General features: G+C 37.9%; 1 protein-coding gene and 2 long non-coding RNA genes across 9 annotated transcripts in view; 2 read left to right on the plus strand and 1 right to left on the minus strand.

Moving 5' to 3' along the window:
• Positions 1 to 8,987, plus strand: part of LOC105378316 (uncharacterized) — a 69,554-nt gene extending 60,567 nt beyond the window's left edge. For all 6 annotated transcript variants that reach the window (XR_945981.3, XR_945983.3, XR_945982.3 and 3 more), the window contains one exon: positions 8,645 to 8,987. This is a non-coding gene — a long non-coding RNA (uncharacterized LOC105378316). The remainder of the gene's footprint in view (positions 1 to 8,644) is intronic.
• Positions 8,988 to 13,518: 4,531 nt separating this feature from the next.
• LOC124902427 (uncharacterized) lies at positions 13,519 to 17,560 on the minus strand. The gene is made up of 2 exons (XR_007062147.1): positions 17,168 to 17,560; positions 13,519 to 14,584 (listed from the first exon to the last, which is right to left on the minus strand). It is a non-coding gene; the product is annotated as an uncharacterized LOC124902427 (long non-coding RNA).
• Positions 17,728 to 18,060, plus strand: part of BICC1 (BicC family RNA binding protein 1) — a 319,216-nt gene continuing 318,883 nt past the window's right edge. The window contains exon 1 of one of the 2 annotated variants that reach the window (XM_047425780.1): positions 17,728 to 17,924. The gene's annotated coding sequence lies outside the window, so the exon portion shown is untranslated. The remainder of the gene's footprint in view (positions 17,925 to 18,060) is intronic. The other variant, XM_047425781.1, reaches the window with a different exon arrangement.

Here is an 18,060-nt window from a genome sequence, read left to right on the forward strand (position 1 = left end):
CTGGTAGAAGGGGAAGCAGGCATGTCTTACGTGGCAGGAGCAGGAAGAAGAGAGAGAAGGGGGAGATGCTACACACTTTTAAACAATTAGATCTCATGAGAACTCACTCCTATTACAAGGAGAGCAAGAGGGAAATCTGCCCCCATGATCCAATCACCTCCCACCAGGCCCCTCTTCTAACACTGGGGATTACAATTCGACATGACATTAGGTAAGGACACAAATCCAAACCATATCAGACCTACTACTCAGAAAAAAAGATTCCTTTCAAAATATTATTGTACATTGAAGATGGCACCTGGTCACTCAAGAGTACTGATGGAGATATACAAAGAGATTAATAATGTTTTCATGACTGCAAACAACATTCATTCTGTAGTCCATGGATCAATGAGTAATTTTGACTTTCAAGTTTTAACACTTAAGAAATACATTTTGTAGGGCTAGTTGCCATAGATTGTAATTCCTCTGATGAAGCTGGGCAAAGTAAGTTGAAAGCCTTCTGGAAAGGATTTGCCATTCTAGATGCTGTTAGGAATATTCGTGATTCATGAGAGAAGGTAAAAATATCAACACTAACAGGAATTTGGAAGAAATTGATTCCAACCCTTATGGATGACTTTGAGAAGTTCAAGACTTTAGCAGAGGAGCAGATATGGTGGAAACAGCAAGAGAACTAGAATTAGAAGTGGAGCCTGAAGATGTGACTGAATTGTTGCAGTCTCGTGATAAAACTTGAACAAATGAGGAGATGCTTCTTATGGATGAGCAAATGAAGTGGTTTCATGAGATGAAATTTATTCCTGTTGAAGATTCTGTGAACATTGTTGAAATAACAACAAAAATTAAGAATATTACATAAACTTACTTGATAAAGTAGCAGTAGGATTTGAGAAGACTGATTCCAATTTTTAAAGAAGTTCTATCGGTAAAATGCTATCAAACAATATCACATGCCACATAAAAATATTTCCCGAAAGGAAGAGTCAGTCAATGCAGTAAACTTCATTGTTGTCTTATTTTCAGAAATTCCCACAGCCACCCCAACTTGTAGCAACCACCACCCTGATCAGTCAGCAGCCATTAACACTGAGGTAAGACCCTCCACCTGCAAAGAGATTGGGACTCACTAAAGGCTCAGATGATCATTAGCATTTTTTGGCAATAAAGGATTTTTTAACTAGGGTATGTAAATTTTACAAAACTGAATGCCACTTCACACTTAATATACTACAGTATAGTGTAGGCACAACTTCTGTATGCACTGGGAAACCAAAAAATGTGTGTGACTCACTTTATTGTGACATTCGCTTTATTGAGGTGCTCTGGAACCAAACCCCCAATATCTCCAAGCTATCCCTATATTTTGTACTTGAGCAGAATTCTTGATTGTTTTTTATTTTCACATTTTATTCAGCTTTGTTGGCAAGGAGAACATTAATTCATTCACTTTATTTAGTGCCTTCAGTGTGCCAACTTTGTTAAGTGCTGGGGATATAAAGATAAAGATAAATGGGATAGACCTTGCTCTAAAGGGATGTGTGATCTGATAGATGAAGATGGGTATGTATACAATAACTAAATTGTCAGAGGGGCCATGATACAATCAGGTAGACATATCGTTAATACATTAGGGAAGTGGTTAATTATGCCTTTGAGATAGGAATTGGTAGGAAAGTCTCCACTGAGGAAGTGCATCTTGTTGAGTCTTAAAAATGAGAAAATTTCTACCAAGTAGGGAGTATGCATACATAAATAGCCTCCACTGATGATTCTTCTTTCCACTACCTCTGATATGGTTTGGTTCTGTGTCCCCACCCAAATCTCACCTTGTAACTCCCATAATTCCCACATATTGTAGGAGGAACCCGGTGGGAGATGATTGAATTGTGAGGGCGAGTCTTTCCCATGCTTTTCTTGTGATAGTGAATGGGTCTCATGAGATCTGATGGTTTTAAAAATGGGAGTTGCCCTGCACAAGCTCTCTCTTTGCCTGCTGCCATCCACATAAGATGTGACCTGCTCCTCCTTGCCTTCTGCCATGATTGTGAGGCCTCCCCAGCCATGTGGAACTCTAATGCCAATTAAACCTCTTTCTTTTGTGCCCAGTCTTGGGTATGTTTTAATCAGCAGTGTGAAAACAGACTAATACACCCTCCCTTTTTTTGAGGTTCAGATATTGTATGTGGAAATGTCATAGATATTGCCTCCATTTAAGAGTAAGAACAAAACTACTGGATATCAAAGCCAAAAGAAAGAAGAAAACATTCAGAAATATGAAGATCTTTGCCAAGAAGAGCAAATTTTTATATTGTTGGTTTGAGCAATTTACTGTACTCAATTTCTTGGCATTGAAAAAAAAACAATCAAAGACAGGCTAAGCTTATGTCTGGCTTTGAGATTTTGTAATGTATCATTTCCTCTTCAGTTTAGCCAATCACAGGCTCCTGTTGAATGTTATTTTAGCCATTTTGCCTTTGGCCTTATAAAATGCAAATTATACTATGCAAAAGCAATTTTAATATAGGACTTAAATCCAGATTCCATTTGTTTTCACCAAGTACCCGCTGTAACCAGATAATATTGAACTGTGTGACTGTTGGTAGAATTTTAGCTAGGAATTAAAATGTGGCAGTAACTGAAAGATATTTAAAGAAGAAATTCAATCACAAATAATGTTGGATTTGGGTAGTGTGGATTTTTGAACGATTTCCTTGAGCATGTATTGAAAGATGGGTCTTGGAGTTTTCCTATTGATTTTCAAAAAGAAAATATCAAAGGATTTAATTTTCCTTTTTAATAAAAAAGAAGTATGTAATTTGATACCTTATTATTTTAATGAAAGACATATTACAGGTACTAATTATATTCCATTACAACTTGAGCTCCAACTAGCAAGACCTGGCTTTAGAGAAAGGGATTATATCTAGATGTTGAGATATGTTATGTTGGACTAAGAATTTAGAATAGTGATTTTTGAATAATGCTGGGCCTTCTGGAAAACATGATAATATATAGATTCTCAACAGTTTCTTTCCATCTCCCACCATAAGACTCAGATTCAAGTGGTTTGAAAAGAGTCCTGGAAATGTGCTTTTTTAAAAAATTAAAACGATATTTGGTAGACAGGGTCTTGCTCTGTCATCCAGCCTGGAGTGCAGTGGCATGATCATAGTAGCCTCAAACTCCTGGGCTCAAGTGATCTGGCTGCCTCTGTCTCCCAAGTAGCTGGGACTACAGGCATGCACAACCATACCTGGCTAATTTTTTAGTACAGACAAAGTCTTGCCATGTTGCCTAGGCTGTTGTCAATTTCCTGGGCTCAAATGATCCTCCTGCTTCAGCCTCCCAAAGTGTTAGGATTATAGGCATGAGCCACTGCACCAAGCTGACTTCTGACCTTTAGAACTGCTAAAAAATAAATTTCTGTTGTTTGAAGTCACCAAATTTCTGGTTATTTGTTACAGCAGCCACAGGAAACTAATACTACCTGGTTACCTCCCAAGGCAAAGAAAAAGCTAAACAATGTACGAGTGCTTTGTGAACTAAACTGTTATACAAATACGACATCTCTTTATTGGTCACTTTCCACAGGGATTTCTAATACCATGCACACAGCTGTTGTCATGGATCAGTCTTCATGGAAAAGACTTCAGGGGAGTTCCTGGAGCTTTCCTGTCTGATTGCATACCCTTCTCACTAATCCTTCTCTTTCCAAAACATTTTCAGTAGTGGTGTGGATATTGCTGACTGTAGCAACCCCAAAGAAAATGAGTTAGAACTACCTTAGCCAGTCTCTTCAATCTGGCAAGGAATTACTCTTCTCTTTATTACAAGATCCTATGTTAGTTCAGGATATAGAGCAGGTATTCTCAACAGCAGCAAGACTGATGTTTGGGACTGGACAATTCTTTGCTATGGGGGTGACTCTGCACATTGTATGTGTAGCAGCATCCTTGTCCTCTACCTACTAGATGCCAGTAGTACCCTCCCCAGTCATGACAATCATATATTTATCAGAATAATGCCAATTTTTCTGAGAAGCAAACTTGTCTGCCCTTCCCCCTTCTAACCAGTTCAAGAATCCCTGATTTAGAGGATGACAGGACGTGACTGGCCAAAGGTTTATCTCGTGTGACTGTGTTAGGGAAGCAGGAGTCTAGGAGATCCAGAGTGACACCATTTTAAAATCAACTTCATCTTAATACTGACAAGGCATATTCCTTCCTGGTCTTGATCAATAGTCCTGACTAGGTCATGACTATGTTTACAGCTAAGGAGAGAGTTGAAAGACACCGGCAAGGAGAAATTTCTACAACAGAAAGTCCAGGTGTCCCAACACCCATAATAATATATGCTTTCAAGATAATTATAGTTATGCTTTGATGTACTTACACACTAAGATGTCAAGGATAGATTTCTTTAAATTGATAAAGTACTAAATTTTGTCATGCTATCTGTCCATCCACCTGCAGGCACAGCTTAGTTTAGTCTTTACATAGACAAGATCCCTATATAAGAAAAACTTAAAGACAGTCCATTCCTCCTCTTGCTTTCTGAGGACGCCCTACTCTGTAATTAAGTAGCTTTCAATAAATATCCTTTCTCACTGCACTTTGCCATTTGCCTTGAATTCTTTCCTGTGCAAGATTCAAGCCTCTCTTGGGGTCTGGATCAAGACCCCTCTTTCCGGTAACAGCTCTCCTCCTGGTAGATAACCCCAGTCTCCATTCATTCATTAAGATTTGTCCTAGACGTCAACAGAGGACATATTTCCTAGTAGCCTGCTGATTCATCATGAAATTGGTCTTTTTGATAGTTTCATCAGTGTTTCTTAAATTACGATCAATATTCCATTTGTGGCAGAATCACTTGAGCTTCTTGTTGACCTGCTGAAAGAGATATCCAGGAATTTCCATTTTACATGTTTTGCAGATGATTCTTTTTTTAACTTTCTTTGATAAACACTAGTTTTGATTAACTTCAGATGCCAGGTAGATGACGTTATGTATTCTACTCTCCTGGTTCTGAAAACTGATCCCAGTTCTCCCTGACAAAGTCCTCCTTCACACTTGCTGTCAGTTGAACATCTGATTCTGGAGACCCCAGCCTAACTTCTGCCCTCATTGATATCTCAGGTTGTCTATCCTCACAGTACTGATGTTTCATCCTTCTCTCCCGTAGCATTGATGTCCTTGGATGTAAGCTCTGATTTCTGTGGATGCATTCAGAGCTCTTATGTTTGTCTCTACACAAATGAAACCTTGGCTATTCCTAATGTAGTAACTCTATCAACTCTTCCAGCTTTAACATATTTTTGTGTACATGCCTGCATCCTAAATCTTGGCCTTGTCCTACCTCTTGAGCCCTGGATACAATAGCCTAGAGGGACCAGAAATCTACAGGTATAGGCAGAGAAATGATCAACTCGAAGGAATTCAGCTCCTTCTTCAACATTCCCCATCTTGGCTGCTCAAAGAAATGTAAACATAATCTTTTCTATCTTTTTCTGCCTTGTCTCTCACACTCTATCAATTATCAAGTCCTGTGGAGTCAACCTCTTAAATATCTCTTGAATCAACCTAATTCTCTCCATCCCAACATGAGGTAATTGAATGTGCTGTTTCTCCTGCCTTTCAACAAATATGAAATACTATTAGTTGCATAATAGCCCCTCTCACTGGTAGGTTAGCCCGCAATCATGCTTCAATATTTTGTACAGAGAAAATTTATAATCTGCCATATGCAAGTTAATATGAAGATGCCGTTGATGACACAGAATACTAGAAGCTAGTATACAAAAGCACCAACTTTAACTACAGATCCAACATAATCCCTATCAAAACCCAGCTGGGTTCTTTAAAGACATTGATAAGCTGATCCTAAAATTCATATGAAAATAAAAGAGATCCAGAATAGCCAAAATAACTTCAAAAAAAGTTGGAGATCTCATATTTCCAATTACAAAACTTACTACAAACTACAGGAATTGAGACAGTGTGATACTGGCAATAAAGATGACATATAAATCAATGTAATGGAATTGAGACTTCAGATGTAAACACATATATCTGTGATCAATTGATTTTTCACAAGGGTGTCAGGATAATTCAGTAAAGAATAATCTTTTCAACAAATGGTGCTAGGACAACAGATATCCACAAATGAAAGAATGAAGCTGGACACCTATCTCACACCATACACAAACATTAACTTGAAATGCATTACAGACATCCATCAAAGAGCTAAAACTATACTTAGAAGAAAACACAGGAGGTAAATCTTCATAAACGTAGGTTTTACAATGGGCTCAGATATGACACCAAAAGGACAAGCAACAAAACAAACAGATAAACTGGATATCATCAAAATTAAAACTTTTTTCTTTTCTTTTCTTTTTTTTATGGAGACAGGGTCTCGCTCTGTCACCCAGGCTGAAGTGCAGTGGTGCAGTCTTGGCTCACTGCAACCTCCACCTTCCAGGTTCAAGTGATTCTTGTGCCTCAGCCTCCTGAGTAGCTGGGGTTACAGGCATGCACCACTATGCCCAGCTAATTTTTGTAAATTTTGTTTTCCTATTTTCTTTCTTGCACATCTTAGTTTTCTTCCTCTCGAATAACTTAAGTGTATTATTTCTGTGTCTTCTGGCATAAGTTTTGCTGCTGAAAAGCTAATGACAGTCTTATTATTTTTCCTTATAAGTGAGTTGATCTTCTTGCCTGGTAGCCCAAATAAGTCCTCTTTTTATTTAAAATACAATACTTTTGACTGGAACATGATTCAGGGTTGGCTATTCTGGGTTGATTTTCCTAGTATATAGATTTATGTCATCTTTTATTTCATTAAAGTTTTGTTCTTTTTTTTTGGTGAGACAGGGTCTCACTCTGTCACCCAGGCTGGAGTGCAACGGCACGATCAGAGCTCACTGCAGTCTCAGCCTCCTGGGCTTAAGTGATCATCACACCTCAGCCTCCTGAATAGAAATTTTTCTTAAGTTACAGTTTTTAGTGTTTGCTCTGTCCCATTGCTTTGATTTTCTTTGTCAGGGACTACCATTATACAGAAGCATCCCCACTCCCATGTTCTGTATCTACTATTTTCTCTCAAATCTTTTAAAAAAATCTTTAATTTCCTTTTCATTGAAAATATTTTTCCTCTTTCCATCTTTTACTTAAGACAGTATCCATTGTGTTTATTTGCTCTTTTGTTTCTTCCAATTTAGTGTTAATTTATTAATTTAAACTAGTTTAATTCTTTCCTGAGAAAGAATTCTTTATCCTTTCTTTCAAATCTTCATACTTTCCACTCAGATCAGACTATCCAATCCTGACTTATTTATTCTTTTATAGCTTCTATCATTAAAAAATGTCTTTTTATTTGTTTGGAAATTTAAGTTACAATTTTAATCTGTTTGGAGGGCATGCCTTTCTGTCATGTTTTTATTCTCTCTAGGGATATCTCCTCCATTATTCAATTTCTTGTTCCCTTTTTTTCATAATTCAACCTCAATCCATTTCTGTTGCTCATTTTTAAGTAAAAGTAGATTTCTTTACCAAAGAAATAAAACAAGATGGGCCTATGCTTCTAAGATTTGCTTCTCCCCTTCTTCCTCTTGTGTCTTGACCTTCTCCTACTTTTGCCCCTATTTCTTTATCCTCCTTGATTTTATCCTATTGCCAGAAGTTTCTCCTCAATAAAGATTTGACCCAGAAGAGAGCTTTGGCCTTTTAGTTTTGAGTGTTCACAGGGTCCAGATTGTTTCAGCAACAACAGTCAGAACTTATTGTCAACCACTGCACTTACCTACAAATTGGGTCCTGCAGGACTCCCACCTATTTTCAGCCGCTGTTGTCAGATTAGTTTTTTGTGCTTTCCAATGAATATCTGATGGCAAATTTGGGATTCTCCTGGATGCTGTCACCACTAGCTTCTATTCCGGAATTTGTACAGATACCTAGTTGTCTAATTTTCTTATGTATATTGTCTATGTGTTTTTGGTTTTGCAATCTATTAGGTTGGTACAAAAGTAATTGCTGTTTTTGCCATTAAAAGTAAGTGTCAAAAACTGCAATTATTTTTACATCAACCTAATAATCGTTCTGTCTGTTTTTTTGAGAGAATGGGCCAGGATTCAGGGATTTTCATAAAATACACTGCCAAACCTACCGCCACCTTCCATTATTTTTCTTTTTAGGTATATGAATATGTCTTCTTTCCTCGAGCAGATTTCTTAATTTTTCTAGTTAAGCACAAAACAGTTATTAAAAATAATAACCATTATTGAGTGCTTGCTTCAATAACCATTGTTGAGTGCTGAATGGATTAAATGTTTCATAAAATGTTCGTTAATCTTTACAAGAACTTTTGGATATAGCTATTTTATACCCATTTAAAAATAAACTGAGGTTTAGAGAAGTAAAATAATTGGTTCCAGTTTGGAGTAAGCAGATTCTAAAATGGCACCAATAATTCTTGCCTCCTTGTATTCACAGCCTTGTGTAATCCCTTCCCCTCCAGTGTGGGCTGTACCCAGTTACTTACTTCTAATGAGTAGAGTATGGAAAGTGTATGTTATGTCACTTCTGAGATTAGTTCACAAAAAGAATGCAAGTTGGGTACTCACTCTCTCTTGCTTTCTTGCCAGCTCACTCTGATGGAAGCCAGCTGCTATGCTGTGTGTTGCTCTATGGAGAGACTCAGGTAGAAGGAATTGAAGGAGGCTTTCGGCCAACAGTCAGCAAGGTACTGAGGCTTTCAGTCCAAGAGCCTATAAGGAACTGAATCCTACCAGCAACCAAGCAAGTGGCTTGAAAATGGACCCTCTCTCAGCTGAGTCTTTGAATAAGATCACAGCTCTTATTCAATATGACACCTTGATTGTAGTCTTGTTAGAGATCTTGAGCCAGTGGCACCCAGCTAAGCTGTACCTGTATTCCTGACCCATAAAACCCCACAGATAATAAATGTTTGTCATTTTAAACTGTGAATTCTTGCAGGTAATTTGTTATGGGGAAAGAGATAACAAATACACAGATCATATAAATAAAGTGGCTCAGTTGGCCTGGAACTCAGGGGATCTGATTCCAGGGTCTGTATTCTTTATCTCTGTGCAATGAAGACTTTGATTAGCCTGCACTTTTATAAGCTACTATTTCCACCACGTTGAATTTGATAGTCTTTCAGTTCTTCTTTGATTCTATTTGTTCTTCTTTGAAAGAACCTTTTCTAACCAGAAACAACCTGTTGCTGAAATGAGGTATTATTTTCCAAGTAGGCAATTTCTTTGAGTCATGGAAATTTAGGGTTAGAAGGAACTTAAAAATTCACATAGTCCAAATCAACCTTTTCCCAATTTTTACAGATGGGAAATTAGACCCAACAAAATTAAGAGCCTGGTCTAAAGTTACACAATTAGTGAAAGAATGAAGATTAAAATTCAGGTCTTCTAATATCCAGTTTAGAACCGATTGACAGCTCTACATGGCCCTAGCTCACTACCACATTGTGGACCTGGAGTAGCTTCAATTTGATTCCTATTCATTTTAGCTGTACAAAAACATAAGAATCTTGAAGGGAACAGCTGACCAGGATATTTATTTCCTTTGCTCTGAGGCTCACCTGCCCTGAAAAGAAGGGTCAACAGCCTGTGTCCAGTTGAATGACTGTTCATCTTCCAGTCCCTTAACCACAGCTCAGGATCCAACATGGCAATGAAGTTTCATATTGAGAGCCAACTCCAAATGATTTGTTTTGGCTGTTTGGACTGCTTATTGAGAAGCATTTCCTGAGCTGGAGTGGAAGAGAGCTGTGATCAGCTAGTAATGTCAGCCATAAGAGGAGGTTGGGGGTGTGGTGGAGTGCATGCCATATATTTGCCCACTGGGATTTCTGTGGATTTTGGTCCGACTCCTTCCTTTGATGACCCACTCTCTTCCTGTTATGACCCATTCTTCCCACACAAGTTGCCCAGGAAGGCTCACTCTCAAGGCTCCCTTGGCCCTAATTTCTGGAATCTTTTTCTCATTTGATGTGAGATTTAGCACACAAGTGGCATTGGTGGAATTTACCTTGTAACTGAGTGTGGTGTTAGAAACAGAGCCAGTTCTCAAATCCTTGTGGGTTGGATGCTTGTATGGCTTTGTAGTCTTTGTTTCTGGCTAGACCCAAAAATCACATTGCCAGCAGACTGTCAGTACATCAAATAAATAAATAAATAAATAATGCAGGGAGGTACAACTTTGCACATGCTTACTCTGTTGTCTTTTACAAAAACATTCCATCTTTCTCAGTCCCAGGGGGTCATGAGAATAAATTTACATGTGAGTGTTAGTCCAGAAGTAAAAGACAGGGTAAAATGCTGCTGCTGTAGATCAAAAGCACAATTAACATGTACCTTGAAATCTGGACAACTGAAAGAGCTATGGGGGGGTGGGGGGCTCAAATATCTCCATGGGTGGTAATTTCAACATTGTAGTATTGTTGTCTTTTAACCCTCTTTTTGGCAGAGTTCTATGTTAGGCAATGTTAGAATTCAAATAAGTGACTGGAAAGTGTTCATTTCCTTCTTTTATTCTTCTGCCTGCTTTTCAACTTTCTTCTTCCATATTCATCCATTTTATTTTCTTTTAGATGACCCAAATATTCCTCTATTATTACTTTTCAGCATTGAAGTGCTGAAGACCTCAATGAAAATGTTTCACTTTTCACAATATTTTTAATCAGAAGCTTATTTTATTGAAATAGTAAGAGAATTCAAGAACCCCCTCTGTTATCTAAATTTTCTTGCCCTTGCCTTCTGGAAAACACAAAACCCCTCCTCTTTTAATGGGAAAGCAACACAAACCTGAACATGACTTGATGCTTTGAGCTGTGTAATTTGAATAAGTCACTGTCTCTATATGCCTCATTTGTACCCAGGGATAAATATATGTGTGTGTGTGTCTGTGTGTGTGTGTGTGTGTGTGTGTGTGTGTGACAGACAGAGAGAGAGAGAAAGAGAGAAAGAGAAAGAGAAAGAGAGTGGAATGAGATCAGCAGTTTGAGCCCCTTTGAAACCCTGAGATTATGGGAAGGAGAAGATGAGCTAGTGAGAATTCCCCATCCTTCTTCAACCAGAGCCACTGTTACTAGTTTTGTGTAACGGCTTTCTGCATTAGAGTTAATTTGAAAGACAGTTTCTATTTTTTAAATGTGAAAACTACGTGAATCCATGAGCCTTAGGTTCCTTCTACCTCTAACATTTTACACTACCTACATGTAATCAGATGGTTCCAGGTTTACGAATGTTGTCTCTTCCTGTGTGCATGTGTTCTCATTGTTCAGTTCCCACCTATGAGTGAGAACATGTGGTGTTTGGTTTTTTGTCCTTGTGATAGTTTGCTGAGAATGATGGTTTCCAGCTTCGGAGGGGGGAGGGATAGCATTAGGAGATATACCTAATGCTAAATGATGAGTTAATGGGTGCAGCACACCAACATGGCACATGTATACATATGTAACAAACCTTCACGTTGTGCACATGTACCCTAAAACTTAAAGTATAATATAAAAAAAAAGAATGTTGTCTCTTTCAGATGTCTCTGTGTTTGACTTAGAACCATTACCATACTGCAGGTCTTCAGGCAAGTTATCCTCTCAAGGCCTTAGCTCTTCTCTTCTCTAAAATGGAGACAAGAGTTGTACCAACTTCAAAAGATTGTGGTGACAACCAAATGAGACAACTCATAGTGTCCAGCAAATTATAAATGCTCAGTAAGTGTTAGTCCTTATTATTAGTCTGAAGAAATGCTTGAATTACACATGGTAGGTTCACCTTCCTTTATTAATTTGACTTATGCTTATTTCAAATAAGCCTTCTTCTAGAACAAACTCCAAGGTCATTAAAATAGAATATCTTATATTTTGCTTCTGTTTTAACTTGACATTGCAGGGAAAATTTATTTATATGATTTTAGAGTATTCACTTAAGAGTAAAGTGATATCCAAAACATACTGCATCATATCATGGCTATGTAGATTTCTTCCCAGAAACCTTCAGTTAAAAGTTAAAATGAAAAAAATAAAGTTGAGATGAAATGAATTGTTTCTGTGGGTGATACTGTGCTGAATATCAGCTTTTTCATAAATTTTAAGCTTATATTTGCAAGATTTTATTTTTTATTTCGGTCTTTGGGTCTCAGTTTCCCGATCTGTGTAAGTCAAGGAACTGGACCAATAACTGCAGATTCAACGTTGATGATTCAAAGTTTATTTCAAGTACTGTGGCACTCTAATCAATTTGTCTCATTTCTCTGGACCTGTTTACTTAGCTGCAAACTGAGGAGAAAATGTTCTTACCTATCAGCTGCTTTTAATTATAATATTGGAGTTTTAACTCTTCTTTTCCTGTTCTTCCTCAACTAAGTTAGTATATGGTTATCTAATCATCCCAATTATAATGTATCACAAATTAATTTCTAATGTTTCCAGGTGCACAGTTAAAAGCTTGTCAACATATACTAGGCAACTGCTGGGTGCTAGAGACACAGTAATGAAAAGCCATGCTTCCTGCCTTCAGGAACTGGGACATCAGACATAGAATGATGATAATGATAAGGATGAGGATGATGATAATGACAGAGATAATAAATGTAAAGATAATTGCTTTAATAGGAATAAGTACAATATTCACTGGAGACAAAAGATCTAGAGAACCTAAATCAGCCTGGTGGCTGGGTGTTTGTGAAGGCTAGGGGAAAAAATGAGAGAGAATATTCCAAGCTGGAGGAATACTGTGTGCAAAGAGCTCAAGATGAAAAGACAGGACTAGACCAGAAATTACAAATAGTTTGGAACTGTTGAAATATGAAATGCAAAAAGAGGAGGTGGGAGAGACAAATGGGCCTGAGAGCTTTGTAAGCCATTTAATTGATTAATATCTGGACATATGTTGAGATTTTTCAAACATAATTGTAATGTTAAGGTTTTAAATTCAAATAGAAAAGCAGTTTTAATATAAGCTTCTGAAAGTATTACAAAAATACAAAAATTCAAGATCAATATTTTTGTAGGTAGCCTTGGAAGAAACAAATTCAGGGAAATGAAGAGTGCTTGGGAAAGAACACCAAACCATCTTGCTTTGAAGTGTATCCTGAGGAGTTTTTCTGTCAGATGACCACTGATTAAGGTTAGACATCTAAGGTAGATGTCAGATAACTAATCTTGTTTTGCTAAAAATCTCTTTTGGGTTTTCATATTTTGTGAACTTGAAGATTTGCTGTGATCTTAGTTATTTAAATTTTCTCAGTGATTTTTTTGTTTGAGAGCCTTACTCCATTAAAGAAAATCTATACAATTGATTACTTGGCATCTGATCTGTTCCTAGACTTCGAATGGATTGAAAAGTATTATTTTCTTGAATGAAGTGGAAAGATAAAGACAAACAGATATATATATGTATGCTCTATAAAAACAAAAAGATTGGTAAATATTCTAATTCTGGTTTGATTTTTGTAGAAAGAGCACCTGACTCAGAAGTCATGAATTCAAGGTTCTGCTATTTATTTATTATTCATTAATGATAATGATATTTATCATTATTAATAATGGTGTAATAAGCATGTATTACTTCATTTGCATTTCCAAAATTAAAGTTATACACCCATCAAATTGTTCTAGAAGACTTGTATAAAAACCAGAAGTACTGTATGCCTTCCCCCCATTTCCCATTTCCTACAGCAATGACTTCCAAAACGTTTAGCTTGATATTACTTTTGCCACTGTGTCTCCAAATAATATGCTTACATTTCTTCCTCCTGATTTTTGAAACATTTTAGCTATTATCTATTGATGTTTCCTTAAAGCAGATGAGGTTCATTTTTTTTCACCACTTCCTCCCCTTACACAAAGCCTCCACTACACACAGGCACATTTCCCAATCCCTCAAATTCCTATTCCAGATATGTCATAATTTAGGTTAGATCAATATGCATGGTTTACATTATTACAACTAAACAAATGCTAGTTACGACTCAGCCACGTTGCATACTCTGATTATTCTGAATTTTTCTGCATGTTTTGTTATACTTGGAGTTAATAATTGTCTTCTTTTTGGTACCACAGTTTTCTATGAACTGATTACTAATTTAACCACAGAGTCTTCATGAGCTGTCTCAGTATCCTCTATGTTCTTCCATTCCAAGAATTCCATTTAATCTAGAAGAAATCTCAACCCTGAGTTTTCTGACCTACTCCAATTTGAGTTCTCTTTTCATTATCATCTTGAGGAACTCTTTTGCCTCTATCATGTGCTAGCTTGCTTGTTTTCTATATTCTACATTTTCTCCTTATCTTGATTTAATCTTGTTTCGGTGGCAAGCAATCTTCAGTAGCTACCTCAGACAGGGCATAAATAAATAAAACTTTTTTTTTTTTTTGAGAATGGATTTTAGCCTTATGTTTGGTTGATAGTTTTGCGGGGTATAAACTTCTACCATGGAAATTATTTTCCACTGGGCATTGCTGCATTGCCATTTGGCTCTTGATGCTGCATTCATTTGGCAGGAGTCCTGTGTTTTCTCTGTGCCTGCATTCAAGAAGCTGAGTACTGTTGGAGAAAGTCATAGGACAAATTATAAATTTATGATTATAATTATAATTTTATAAAGTTATGATTACCAACATCAACTGGCCTCTCAACAGTGCCAACTCATCCTTTTACAGATGCAAAGGCTATATAAAAACCTCTCAACTACCAAAAGCAAACCCTACTCTCTTCAAACCTATGACTGCTCTCTTTCCCTCCTACTCTTCATAGATAACCTTGACTTTTACTCTTTTGGGAAAATACAATCCATCATATGGGAATTCCTTCCTGTTGTAAAAATGCAACCTACAAACTGACCTATATTTGTACCTATCTTGTTTACTTTCTGATGAGCTATTTGTCCTCTTATTATCTCTTGTAATCTATTCTGTTCATGCTCTCAAAACCTGATAATATTAATTCTTCTCCTTTTTGTTGAATACTCAATTTCTGCCACCTGAATCTTTTCCAGTCACTTTTAAACATGCTCAAACCTGGCAAACCATTAAATCAACCATCTAACCAACCAAACTACCAAACAACCAATGCCCACTTTATCCTTCAGCTATTGCTCCTTCCTCCCTTTCTCAGCCAAACCTTTTCCAAAGAGTTGTTGTTACTTCTCATTTCATTAGCTATACCCAGTCCTCAACCACTCCATTATGGCTTTCTTGCCAAGGTCTCAGCAATCTCATAAAAAAAATGTTGACTTCCCTTAGTAAACAAAGATGATCACACTTTCCTTTTTGTAATAGTCTTTTTCTGAGTTTACATGACACAGCTTTGTTTCTTCATTCTTCTTTCACTGCTGCTTCTATATCCTTTCACATTACACTGTCCTCTACTTGACCACTGTCAGAATTTTAAAAAGTCACATTCCTTGGTTCCCTTTTCTTCTAAGTCTCTTCTTTTTCCCTAGACAGTCTGACCCAGGTAGATGGCTAGAATTGTTACCTATAAACAAGTAACACATTTTAATCTCTAGCCAAGATTCCTTTACTGAATTCCAGACCTATTCAATTGCTAACACAACATCTCTTCTTGGAGATCTCAACATCATTTCAAACTCAAAATGCCGAATTCAACTTCATGAACTTTCTTCCATTGTGATTTTCTTTCAATATTCCCAGTTTCAGTTAATGACACCTATCTCTCTCTTATTATGTTAGCCAGAACCCTGGAGATATTCTCAACATTTCTCTTCCCATCACACTATTTCTAATTCATCACCAATCTACTTGGTGATACTTACTGTTTAAATATTTCTCAAATCCTCTCATGTCTCTCATCTTCACCACCTATGTAAGCTAGCAGCATTTATTATCTAAACTTCCCATATAGTCTCTTAATTGGTCCAACTGCTTCTATCTATCCTTGTCCCTCAGTCTGTTCTCCACACTAGAGCCATAGTCAACTTTTGAAAATGCAAATCTAAGCACATCTTTCTTTACTTACAGCCTCTATATGATTTCCTTTTATTCTAAGGATAAAGACAAAAACTCCTTAATTTGACCTATGCTGCTTACATATGCCCCCTCTTACTTATAACTCCTGCCCCAGTGAGTCCTAATTCCTTGTTTCCTTGTACCAGCTACGCTGGCCTTCTTTTAGTTCATCCAATGGGGGAATGCATACTGCCCCCTTCTGCTACAGTGTCTTTACTTGTGCTAATCTTATTGAGAGCCAATATAACTTATTGGCTAAGCATAAAGCACCTGAAGCCTAATTTTCAAGAGACTGCCTGGGTTCAAATTCTTATTCTTCAACTTAGTCGTGCAACCTTGAGCAAGTCATTTTACCTTTTGTGCCTCAGTTTCCTCAACTCTAAAATGAGGATAATTGTAGTATCTACCTTCAGGGATGTTACTATGATCAGATGATCATTTGCAGGGATGGCTCTTCCTTCCCTTGCCTAGTTAACTTCTCTTCCAACGTCTGTTCTGAGTTAGAGTCACTGTTTCGAGAAGCCTTCACTGACCTCTCTGACTGAATCCAATTACTCTATCATAGGTTTTCTCATATCTTGAGTCTCTTGTTTGTAATGCTTACTGCGGGCATGATTTTATATTTGTGATTTATTTTTTGGTCAGTATTCCTTCTCATTAGAATTTCAGCTCCAGGAGGGAGTACAGGGATGTGTCTGTCTTTGCTTACTATTCCTTGGGCTTAACAGTGCCAAGTACATAGTAGGGTCCCAATAAATATTTGTTGATAGAAAAACACAGTAAATGTCCCTGATGGAAAACAGTGGGAATGCTCCTACATAAACCCTTTGGGTGCTGAAACTAGTGCCTTGGATAGAAATTAACAGTAATTAACAAGTTTATAAAAGGAACACATGGTGGTGAATCAGAGCAGTTAAGTGTGCAGATGCTCTCAGTTCTTCAGGAGGTGACTCTGGGCAGGAGGGGTCTCCGCTCAAAAAGGTAAGACTTTATATAAAGACCCACAGACCTGGGTCTGATTAATTGGCTGTATTATCTGCTGCTGGACAACCTTAGTCAAGTTACTTTATTTCCCACGGTCTCAGTTTCCTCATCTGTACCCATCACAGGGTCAATTCCTGTTAACTAGGCAGCTGAACCTGAAATAATTTTGATTTACCTTCAGCATATTCCATGATTATCCAGAGGCCTGTGCCAGTGATATGGCTCTTCCTACATGTGAGCCAGGCAGCCTCCTTCTGTGGCGCAGTGACAAACTGCTATCCCCATCATTCCTCCCCGCAAGTCTTTGTACTTTGGGTCATAAAATAATAGGCTATGAATCTGTGTGAACTGGGAAAACAGAGTTCCAAGGGCACACCCAGTACGAGCGAGTCTCCTCTTCCCCCGCGCTTCATATCCAAGCTTGACAGAGGCCGTGGGTGGGCTGGCCCTCGGCAGTGAGGCTCAGAGGTTACTGGCCGTCATCTGTCAGAGACTGACCTTGAAAACAGAGAAAAGCCCTCAGTCCCTGACAAGACAGCCCTGCCCACGTGCCAGCTGGATCCAGCTCGCCAACACAGCGATCTCCGAGCCCCTTTTCTACTTAAAAAAAAAAAAAAGTCTGCTGAGTCCATTCCTTGAGAATCACAGAGAAAACAATTCCTTCCTTACTCCATTCAAGAAAAAAAAAAATTCCCTTTCTCAGAATAAAAAGAGTAAGCCTCTTGTCCACCTCTCGTGCAGCGGGCCACTTTGCTGGGAGGAGACGAGGTGTCTGGGTTTGAGCCCTTCCTGGAGGTATGAACTACATGCGAGCCACGTCCATGGCGATGCCTGCGAAAGACGGGCATGATTTCTTCTCCAAGCCTTCTTTTTCCTCTTCCTCACGTTCGAGCTTGTGGAACCAACTGGGGCTGTGAGTTTCAGGGTGTAGGGTATGTATGTAAACAGCGGAATTGTGTATGCGCTTAGTGTGCGTTCAGGACTCTGCTGTGCTTGAACTTGGCGTGTTTGTGTTTGTGTGTTTGGAGGATTATGAGAGCATGTAGGGGGAAGAGATTTGTATGTGTA

This window comes from Homo sapiens, chromosome 10 (assembly GCF_000001405.40).
Source record: "Homo sapiens chromosome 10, GRCh38.p14 Primary Assembly".
In the NCBI taxonomy this organism is placed as follows: domain Eukaryota; kingdom Metazoa; phylum Chordata; class Mammalia; order Primates; family Hominidae; genus Homo; species Homo sapiens.